The sequence below is a fragment of the Homo sapiens genome, chromosome 2 (assembly GCF_000001405.40).
Source record: "Homo sapiens chromosome 2, GRCh38.p14 Primary Assembly".
Classification (NCBI taxonomy): Eukaryota; Metazoa; Chordata; class Mammalia; order Primates; family Hominidae; genus Homo; species Homo sapiens.
The window spans coordinates 81,569,009-81,580,566 of record NC_000002.12 but is presented as its reverse complement, the minus strand read 5'-3'; the positions used below and the strand labels follow the sequence as shown (position 1 = coordinate 81,580,566).

Below are 11,558 nucleotides of genomic sequence, written 5' to 3'. Positions count from 1 at the left end.
TTCCAGTGACTAATCTAAATACTCTTAATTGCCGTCACTTGTTAACAAGTTTCTTGTTCATGTCTTATTGTGGTTGTGTATTATACATCTTAGGTTGTCTTCACTGGCCTCTGAATTTCCTGACAACCTCTCTTTAGCCCACGTCTTTATGCCAGTAGCCATCAACAACACCTGACTAGAGGACAAGTGTGATAGGGCCACTGGTATTGCGACGGCCTGCACTTAACAACCTGACACTTGGTCAAATTTTACTACAATAGATGACCAAGTCAACACATTGCTAGGGCTCCTCATAAGAGAGACAGGCAAGCAAGGGGTCTTGAAATGAAAGTTTGTTTAACTTCATGGCAACTTGTTAACTCTTTCTCTCATTCCTGCTCTTAAGAAACTTCCAGAACATTATGATATTTGATCCACATAAGAAGCTTTACATCATGAATTTTGTTTATGTTTTCCTTCCCTGACAGTAATAGTTGTATACATTACCCATATCTTGGATGACATCCCAATAATAGTTAACAATAGTAATATATAATAGTTCCTCTGAAATAAAGAATTTGTATCAAAATACTGGAAACAACATAATTTTATATGTGGACACAGTAATGCGATTGCCAACCTATGCAATGGAGTCTTGCATTAACAATGATATCCTATAGCAAAGTAACTTAAATTACATTTAAGTTGATGAATTGATTGCCCTTAAATAAAATTAGCATATATCAGTAGTAAATAATGAATCTGATTTTCTCCTTCAATGACCTCTTCCCTCTGGTACTTAACTTTTAACTTAAAGTTGTGAAAATCAGGGAAGAAGTTCCAGGCAATACCCACACAGCCACAAATCCAAACGCCTCATCTCCCCCACATCACTGCTTCGGGTACCATGACTCTGTTGAATAATATCACTTATCTCTCTATTTCCTGAGGCAGAACACAGGAAGCCAGGATACTCACATTGTGTCCACTTGCATATGCTTTCTCCTTTTTAGTTTCATGGTCAGTTCCCTAGTTCAGGCTTTTCTGTTCACGTATCTGCGTTAGAATAAAAGACCCCTTCTTAAGTTGACCACTACCTCTGAGATGCTTTCCTCATCTGAAAATGAATTTGATTTCAGCATTATAGAAATGTACTTTGCAAGACACCTTGGATGTTATTCCTGTTCTTAAATTTCATCAGTCTTCTCATGGCTTCCAAGAAGTAATTTGAATTTATTTTCACAGGTTACAAGACACTTTATGTTCTGCTATGGCCTCTATACCTTTTAAGACTTCACTTCTACCAATGTATCTCTTGTTCAAGCCTTCAGAAATATTAAACTCCTTGGAGAATTTTGAATAATCTCTGACACATGTTCTCTTTTTCTGTAGCAAGTTAGTTACACATGTGTATCTCTGATCATTCTTGTTCATTCTTGAAGTTTTTATGTGAAGTCTGCACTTCATGAGCTCTTCCCTGATTTCCCCAGGAAGAATTAAATCCTTTTATGCCTGCATGTTGAGGGAAAATTTACATCTAAAAATTTCTTACAGAATTATTTTCTCTTATGATTTACATATCCATCTCTTCATGAGACTGTAATACCTTAGTCTACTATCTATCTAACTATATTGACCTATCTATACCCATTTATACATTTATATCTAATATCAAACTAAATGTCTGGGATGTAATAAGCATTTAAACATTTGCTAAATGAATTACGTAACACATTTGATTTTTTTTCAAATGACTGTCAGCATTGATACTTTCCTCAAAGACCCCAGTTTTTGTTCTTTTGTTAACCAAAACAAATTTTTGATAAAATCATACCTATCTTGTTACTGTAACAGCTTTACAGCAGATAAAAAATAAAAAATAATCTATCATAACTGCATCCATTTATATTACTGAAATAACCCTGCCTGTATTTATTGAGTCTGAAATGGAACTATTTTAGAATCTATGTAAAAGGAGACAAACATGATGATTTAGACATGCTGACTAGCTTCTTGGCCACTATATTATTCATAACTTGGTGTCTCCCTTGACCCTAGTAGTTCAAACTTGTGAACAACAGTGTTAACTTAGTTTCAATAGATGACCAGCTAAAAGATGCTGACACAGTGTCTTCTTAGGAACACTTTGGAGAATGACTTCAATCCAGAAAACTGAGGCTCAGCCTGTAATCTCTCCAGTTCCAGTCAAGACTTTAATCCTTCCACTTCATCTCCACAAACTCTCTCCTAGCCATCCATACTCCTCTTTCTAATCCACCTAGATTATTTAAAAGGCCATATTAAGTCAACTGCTTGACACCAGTCTCAGCTATTCCAAAACTACTGATATGGGCCACTTTTATATTTTATCCACTATAATTTGTATGCATGCCATAGTCTTTTACTTTCAGTTTTCATCCTACTGACCCAATACCTTGATCACCTGCTTCTGCACTTGGAAGGACCATGAGAAGATTTTAATACTCCTTTGTCTGCTCTTCTCCATTTTCCCCATGTAGCTGTTTTATTTGTATAAAATTGCCATTCTTATCTATTCAGAGCCCAGAAAAGTGTCTTAAAGCAAAGTAGTGTATTGGAGAGGCTTTGAATTAGGGAATAGAATTCTTATCCCAGTTCTGCCAATGATCTCTTTATATTAGACAAGATATAGCATCCCATGCTTTTAAGTTTGGATTAGATATTAGAGAAATCCTGTTCCTCTGTTACCACTGAGAAGACTCAGCACTTCAGAGAGTATAAGTTATATGCAGCCACAGCTAGTTTAATGAGTCTGGTCTAGAATTCAGATCTCTTGGAGCCACCAGCGGTTACCCTTGAATCTATTAAATGTCCTGACCTTTGTTTTCTCTTATTTAACATGAGAATTATATCATCCATTCTCACCTCATAAAGTTGTTGTAAGTAATTTAAAAAATCATGATGTGATGCATTTGATAAACAAAAGTGTCCATACTAATATGCAATATTGTTAGTGCATGACCTCCTAGAGCCCTCTTCTTTTTGTGGAATCAAAGATTATCCTTATTTCACTCTATTCTCTTAAACTGGGTTTTGATTACTAAACTCTCCCCAATTTTTTGTACACAGCAACTATATCTCTTAACATGGTAAACAAACAGCAATCTCTGTGCATGCACTCTTCCCACCATGCATTTTCCCCAAACTAGAATCATCTAGAAATAGATGCAAGAAATGTATCATGATGGAGCCATAGATATCCTGAGTCTGAGACTGTAGCACAAACATGAGCAACCTTCGGGAGAAAAAGAAGGTAGGGACCAGAAATACAGACTAGAAGGAAGTAAAAGCAGAGTAAGAATTGTTCCTCTTGGAAAAATGGTAAATAACAGTCATTGTGCACCTGATATATGTTGGGCGCTGTTACATACATTTTCACATGTAACATTCACAAAGTAGATGAGTAGGATAGCTGGAGTCACTCACCTAAAGCAAATAGAGCCAAAATTTAAACTGGGTCTGTCTGTTTATCTGTGCAGATAAATGAAATAAAAGCAAGGAGCCAGGGAGCAGCAGCTCATAGGCACTTTCTTGAGCTAAATATACAGGAAAATAAGAAGATTCCCCAGATTCTGACAAGGACTTCCTGAGGGAGAACCAAGGCACTTGATGATGATGATGACTGCTGAGATTGTGCAAGAGGCCTAGCCCTGAGGCTGTCCCAGGAATCGAGCTACAGGCTTAAGAACAGAAAAAAAATTTCTGCATCAGCCGTGAGGTTAATGAATGTAAACTGAGGAGTAAAGTTAATGCTCTAAGACAGATGAAGTTCACCCATCCACTGCAATTTTTGGAGGTGAAATTAATCCTAGTTTCTCTTGTCAATATTACTTCTCTTCAGAATATCTTATACAGTCTTATGAAAAAAATCTCAAGTAAAAATCTCCAGCCCATTTTGTGTGTTTCCACATGCCTGATAGATTTATCCACTTAGGGGTTTCATGGTAAATTATACAAAGTAAGTAGAAAGAATAATTATTTAATATTTCCACCAAATTTGTATCTTTAACACCATGACCTTTGTCAGTAAATAACACTTTGAAAAGTTTGCATCCTCCTTGTTTTCAGCCCCATATACAACCTGCAGCAAGTCTTGTCAATTCTGTCTTTAAAATACATTCATTCACTCCTCTGTGACTCCATTCTCTTCACCATTACCATTTTTCTCATGGATCATTTAAAAAAGCTGTTAGTATTTCCATGCTGACTCTTGTTCTCAATTTCAAATCCATTCTTCACACTTTGGACAAAGCATCTTTTATAAATGCATAGCTGATTATGTCACTCCTAGCAGTAATTTCCCATTCAGTTTAAATAAAGTTCAAATACATTTATGCTGTAATTTCTGTGAAAGATGCCCCTAGAGTTGTGCAGTGCACAGCCTGCATAGCCTATGCTGAGGAGATACAACTTTCTTCTAATGTATTATTTTATCAACCTGTAACTCTCTTTCCTAATCCTTATATAATTGGAAGTAATATTTTGGGCTGATAATTTATTTAAATCTTATATTTCTTGATAGACTGTTAGCTTCGTTAAAACCAAAACTAGTCTGTGTAGCCCACCGCCAAATCTCTATCTCCAAGAATACCCTAAACCAAACTAGTGCCAATAAATATGTATAGAAAAAAAATGAATGACTAAATGGCTTACTGGATGGCTAACAGTCCGATTAATTGAATAATTCACTTCTGAATAGTTTCAGAGAGATCATTACTAGGTTTGCATTTTTTGTGGAATAAAGATAAAAAAGCTCTTAAATTTTTGGTTAAGAGAGTATTGATATCCCTGTAAGGATGTCTAGCTTGTTTTTTATGGTGATTACTTCTGTGATGCCTTCTCTGAAGATGCTAGCCCAAAATGATATCTTGATTCTCTGACTTACTCTAGAACTTATTATCTGCACTATTCCTTTCAAGCACTGATAATATTCTACCCCATCTAATTACCAAGAAGACACCTAGATTTATGTAATCAAGCCCTTATATATCAGCTCCAGTGGGCTCCTAGACTTCTGGAATTGAGTCCAAGTTTGCATTTGTTTTGCGTTCCTGACAGAGTAGTCTCTGCTGTGTAGCACTTTGCTGTGTGCATAGAAAATAATCAGTGATCATAACATGTATGAATAAGTGAATGAATGAACAATTTGCAAGCAGCTGCAAGTTTCAATGTTCTTTAAGGTGAGGATGATAAAATTCCTGAACACATTTATCTTTCATTGTTTCAGAATTTTAAAGAAAAAATAGGAGAATTAAGACCTTCGTGTGACATCCTTTATGACGTCTGCAAGTATGCTACATATGAGAGCTAGATACTACTTTTTTCCATGAAATTTGATTTGTCTGGTAAGTTTTCTTCTCTTTCTTTCTTTTTAAAAAAAATCTATAATATTGACTTTTGTTTTTAATTTTATTTTCTTTAAGGAAATATCTTAGTCTTACTTCAGTTTTGAAGAAAAAGTTATAAATCATAGCCCTCTTGTCCTAGTCCATCAATTTCATCATTTTTTGTAATTCAATATGCTTAGATTTTTGTAATTATAATATATAAATAAGTTTGTTTTACAGTTTTATGATTTCATTTGAGAAAGTAATTATTCCATGAAAATTTTGTTTTCATTATGTAAGAGACACATTCATGAAAACCTTGGTATCAAGAAAATTAGTTTTATTTTTGCTAAATTATATCAGTTTTGCATTAGGTGGGCAGTTAGCCAAGATGGCCGCTAGCATTGCTTTCTCCTTTTAGCTTCTGAAAAGCTACTAATATTTCTGATAGATTTATCTCCATTTGCTATTAAAGCTCAATGGACAATGACTGCTAATATTTAGTTTGAAGACGAATGTAATTGTAGGAAGAGCATAGCTTTAGGCATTTATAAAAGTCCCGGTTTAACTCATGATTTCAACACTTACTGTCCATGTGATCTAGAAAAAGTTACTTTAATTGCTTGAGCCTTAGTTTCTTCATCTGTAAAATGGTTATGATAATTCCTATTTTGAAGTATGTTGTGAAAAAGCGGAAGTAAAATGTATGGCAATGCAAATTAAATGCTAATTTCTTTCTGTCCTCACACCCACATCTCACCTTTTCTTTTTTTTTTTTTTTTCCAGATACAGGGTCTCACTCTGTCACCAAGGCTGGAGTGTAGTGGCATGGTCATAGCTCACTGCAACCTCAAACTCTTGTCACCCTATCTTCATACTTTTTTGGAAAACTCTTCACTCCCCCTAACCTGTAACCTCACACGTTTTCAAAACAGCGGAAACTAAACAGAGATAAATGTTGGTTTCAGTTTGACAGCCAAAGATGTTTAATTCTGTTGTATCATTTTTTCTTTAAAAACATCTAGGAGAATTAAATTAAAGAGTGTAAGCCTGGCAATAATTTTAAACATATTGGTAATCTTTAATAATAACAACAGCAGCAATAAAAGAAATCATAAACTCCACTATTTATCAAAAGCTCATTATGTAGAAGGAACTGTCCTAAATATTTTACATAGATTATCTCTAATACTTAGAAAAACTGTATAGTAATCATAAGCTCATAATTTAGAAGAAACAAGAAACAGATTCATATGCCCAAGGGTATGCAGCATACAAATGTTACAGACCAAGCAGCTCCTATTCAGAAATTCCCAGGTCTATTTCTTATGTTCTATTCCGTTTATACTATTTTCCCCTAATAAACATCTATAAATCAACCTATAGTATATGACTTGATTCAATGAAAGCATTCATTAAAAAATGAATAAAATTGCTGTTTAAAGATACCTACCGTAAATCACATACACATTTATAAATTGTACACATAACTCATTTTGTGTTTTAAGCAGTTGTCTATCACTATTGAAGATTCAGGAGACATTATTGGTGATATCGTACCGAGCTTCTATCAGCACACAATACTGATCACTGTCCTAACACTTTTGAAATGCTCTTACTGCCATTGGAGACTTAATTGACAAAAGGCTGAGAAGGGAGTACGACACTGATTTCCTTGCTATCCAAGGCATTATGTAGCACTGACAAAGAGACATGTATAAAACCATGTCAAAGAAGTAATTATTCTTCTGAGTTCAATTGATTAACAATGACATCATGCTTCAACAACTCACATAAGTTAATTTTTAATGCGTATATATTTATTCATGTATTCACTTATGTATGTTTGACTCCATATTATTTATTCAGACATTATTTTCTAGATCCAATACTTGAAGCAAGCAGTACTAGGATAATGAATGACAGTGCTTGATGTTAGCTCACTGCAGTAAAAATGCAGTTCTATATGATGCTGCTCGTTAAATGTTTCAATAAGGAACATCTATGTTCCTTTATTATTAGTGTACCATGTATGCTGTGGTATTAGTGTACCACGAGAGTCTGTAGAAAATTGGGAGTTAGTTGAGGCATTAGAAAAGCAATCTTAGATTAAACAAAAAGGTGATAGAGGACTTAATCAAGAATAGAGGGATTGGAAAGGGAATTCCAGGCCAAAATAGTATTATTTGCAAACATCTTGAGTTAAGAGAGAACCTGTGAAATTTGGGAAGCTGAGAAAAAAAAGAGAGAGATAGAGAGAGATAATGGCATACCATCTTTTCAAAATTTATTTAAAATCAAAAGAAAGTCAGAAGAGTTATAATTCAGTTTAGATGTTATTATATGCAAGAAGCTGGCAACTCCATTCAAACTGGTAAATCCATAATGAAACTTGGGGACTTGCGTAAATATAAATGCCGAGGTTGGAAGGGCTTCAGGGTGACTCAACCCAGTGTCTCTGGTCCTATTTCCCTGAGACTTCCTCTTTTATACTCTTCTGCCTAGGTTGTTTTCTGGCTGATGCTGGATTCCTCAATGGGCAATAAATTGGTCTAGAATTCCACACTATCCAGATATATTTCCCTCATAATATCGCCCATATTTCATTGTCTTAAATATGATTCTATCTCCCTACAGAAGCCAATCTTTTTATTATACAAAACAGGGAAGTACCTTGTTGATCAGTCAAGTTGTTGGTCAAGCGAACTAATGATTATGATAAAGGGAATAGGATTAACTTTGAACTAATCGGGTAAACCTGTTGATTGGCCAGCAAAGTGATGAAGGAAAATATTAGTTTCCTCAAACATCATGATATTCAGAGAGAAGAACGGGATATCTAGAAGGTAATTACTAGGAAGGGGGAGAGGGTAAATGGAAAGTGGACAAGTAATACTGTCCACTGCAACTCTCGGAAAGTAAGTTTATATTTTCATTTTAGGAAGATCACAAGGTCTACAATGTGGAAAATGTCCAGCTGAAGGAAGATGGAAAGGATTGGAAACAGAATATGTTAAACTTTTTGCCTTATCCACTTAGGAGTTGATGATGCCTAAAATAAAGATATGAAAGAGATTGAGAAGTAATGATTAAATGGTCAATTTTCTAACTTGTATTTTTAGCTGAGATACATGAGAGTATCATAAACGGTTTTGGACAAACATAAAAAAGTCCTCTGTATCTAATTACATCTTTCACAAGATGCCAGTACAGTTATGGTTATATTTTTAAAGTACTTATACATCACTATTGAAAGTAGTTTTGATATAATTATATATTTCTATATAATTTATTTAGGTAAATACAATGTTTACTGGCATTTTATTGAAATTCTATATAATAGGATTTTAGTTCTTAATGTTTTAGATTCTTAATGTATTTTATTATATTCAATATTATACTAGTATTTCAGTTGTTTCTTTTCGCTTATTTTTTATTATAATTTATCCTGAAAACATTTTCATGAATAATTCTTTCTCTGTATGTGCTTGTTTTTCTTTATAGAGATTTTATAAATTAATACAGGTCTGTATTTCTGCCTCTTACCACTCATTACAGAAGAATCCAGTTAATTATTTGGTAATTGTCTATTTACATAAACAATTAGGGCTATATGTAGCAAATGCTCATATGACTGATGATGAGAATCCATACTGAATTCTAGGTCAGTAAGCTATGAGGAAAAAAGATTGTTCCAGTAAATCTCAAGAATAATTTATATTATTTCTTTCTCATAAAAAAGTAAAGCTTTCTTGGAGTTCAGAAAACATTCCTCATCCTCCTTTCCAAGACTATTTCATTTCTTATGGCCTATAACTAACATTTAAATATAGCGTTTCTTCCTAAAAGTCCCAAACAAAACATTTTACAAATTGCATACACACACACACACATATATTTATATAATTTTTGGAACTGCATAAACATTGTGTCCCAAACTGTTTTCTGAAGGAGGTATAGGTTTTTATCATAAAATTTTATATTCAGAAAGGAAAGCTTATCAATGCTTTAAAAAACTGAGATTTAGGTAGTCCAAAGAAACATGCCATGATTCTTTGCCTTCCAATACTAAAGTTCAGGACACTTGAAGAAAAAATGTGTTTTTAATCTCTTTTTCTCCCCCCCAAAAAAATAAATTCTTGGTAAGATTGCCTGGTTACTGAGTGCAGACAAAATGTGGTAAGTAGAGACTCTCTCTAGTGCTTGCAGGGATCAGCCTCCTTTGTCTTCAAGAACCCAGCATAATTATGCTGTCTACCCCTTTCTCTCTCTCTGGGTCCTCAGCTGGACCTATTTACAAAACTTTATCTTTGTTAATTACATCAGTCTTTGAATGCTGGGAATATAGTATGAATAGAAAAGTAACTTCGTGTGGTACTGTAATTAAAGGGCTTAATGCTTCACCTTGCAGTTATTTTGCTATAAGTGTTTTAAAGCTGATACTTTATTTACATCCAGAGTTAAATTAAAGCAGAAAACTGACAGCATCTTAGCACTAGACTGCAAGCTTCATGTGGACATCTTTTCATTATTGTTTACTGTTGGAATTCCACCACCCAGAGACTAGCATATAATGGACATGAAACAAATGAATATTTGATGAATGAATGAATATAATAACATGCTTGCATACAAGGATTTTTGTTTGTTTGCTTATTTTAATGGTTTTGTTATGAAACATAAGAAACATAGAGAAAAGTGCACAAAACATGAATGTCCAGCAGAATAATTTTTGATAAGGCTAATGCCAATGTAACCAAACACAGATTACAAATTAGAAAATTCCTGCCAGCCACTGTGGCTTATACCTGTAATTCCAGCACTTTGGGAAGCTGAGGCAGGAGGACTGCCTGAGACCATGAGTTCAAGACCAGCCTGGGCAACATAGCGAGTTCCCCATCTGTACAAAAAATAAAAATAAAAAAATAGCTGAGCATAGTGATGCAGCACCTGTAGTCCTAGCTACTTGGGAGGCTGATAGGAGGATTGCTTGAGCCTAGCAGTTTGACACTGCAATGATCTATAATCACACCACTGCACTCCAGCCTGGGTGATGGAATGAGACCCTGTCCTTAAAAAAAGAAAAGAAAAGAAAAGAAAAAATTAAAATAAGGCAGTTTCTAACCCATATGTGCTCCAATGTTAATTCATATCAAGCATTTTATGATAATATCTTTGTTTTTACTCATAATTTTTGTAATTATGATCCAATAATCTTATGATCACTTATCATTAGAGAAACACAAATCAAAACCACAATGAGATACCATTTCATTCCAGTTAGAATGGTGATCATTAAAAAGTCAGGAAACAACAGATGCTGGAGAGGATGTGGAGAAATAGGAACACTTTTACACTCTTGGTGGGAGTGTAAATTAGTTCAACCATTGTGGAAGACAGTATGGCGATCCCTCAAGGATCTAGAACTAAAAATACCATTTGACCCAGCCATCCCATTACTGGGTATATACCCAAAGGATTATAAATCATGCTACTATAAAGACACATGCACACGTATGTTTACTGCAGCACTGTACGCAATAGCAAAGACTTGGAACGAACCCAAATGCCCATCAATGATAGGCTGGATAAAGAAAATGTGGCACATATACACCATGGAATACTATGCAGCCATAAAAAAGGACGAGTTCATGTCCTTTGCAGGGACATGGATGAAGCTGGAAACCATCATTCTCAGCAAACTATCACAAGGACAGAAAACCAAACACCGCATGTTCTCATGCATAGATAGGAATTGAACAATCAGAACACTTGGACACAGGGCAGGGAACATCACACACCAGGGCCTGTCAGGGGGTTGGGGGCTGGGGGAGGGACAGCATTAGGAGAAATACCTAATATAAATGATGAGTTGATGGGTGCAGCAAACCAACATGGCATATGTATACCTATGTAACAAACCTGCACGTTGTGCACATGTACCCTAGAACTTAAAGTACAATTTAAAAAAAGAAAAAATTAAAATAAGGAAGTTTCTAACTCATATGTGCTCCAATGTTAATTAACATCAAGCACTTTATGATAATAATATCTGTTTTTACTCATAATCTCTGTACCAAAAATGTCTTTCTAAATGCTGTAATTTATATTAAGTGCTCTAATTTGCATTTTTCTATTTAAAGAAAATTTTTTAGGAGTATCTTGCTTGTTTTCCCAGACCTGAGTATGGTGAAGTGGTCATGGATCATAGCT

At 34.6% G+C, this 11,558-nt stretch overlaps 1 long non-coding RNA gene across 25 annotated transcripts in view; it reads right to left on the bottom strand.

Moving 5' to 3' along the window:
• The window catches only part of LOC102724542 (uncharacterized), a 368,996-nt gene that overhangs the window by 270,167 nt on the left and 87,271 nt on the right, over positions 1-11,558 (bottom strand). For 4 of the 25 annotated variants that reach the window (NR_187701.1, NR_187699.1, NR_187711.1 and 1 more), the window contains exon 3: positions 10,154-10,245. The exons of 12 other annotated variants lie outside the window; for them this stretch is intronic. This is a non-coding gene — a long non-coding RNA (uncharacterized LOC102724542). Of the gene's footprint in view, positions 1-957; positions 1,097-10,153; positions 10,246-11,558 lie in introns of all 25 variants that reach the window. 9 more of the 25 variants (NR_187692.1, NR_187694.1, NR_187712.1 and 6 more) reach the window with 3 other exon arrangements.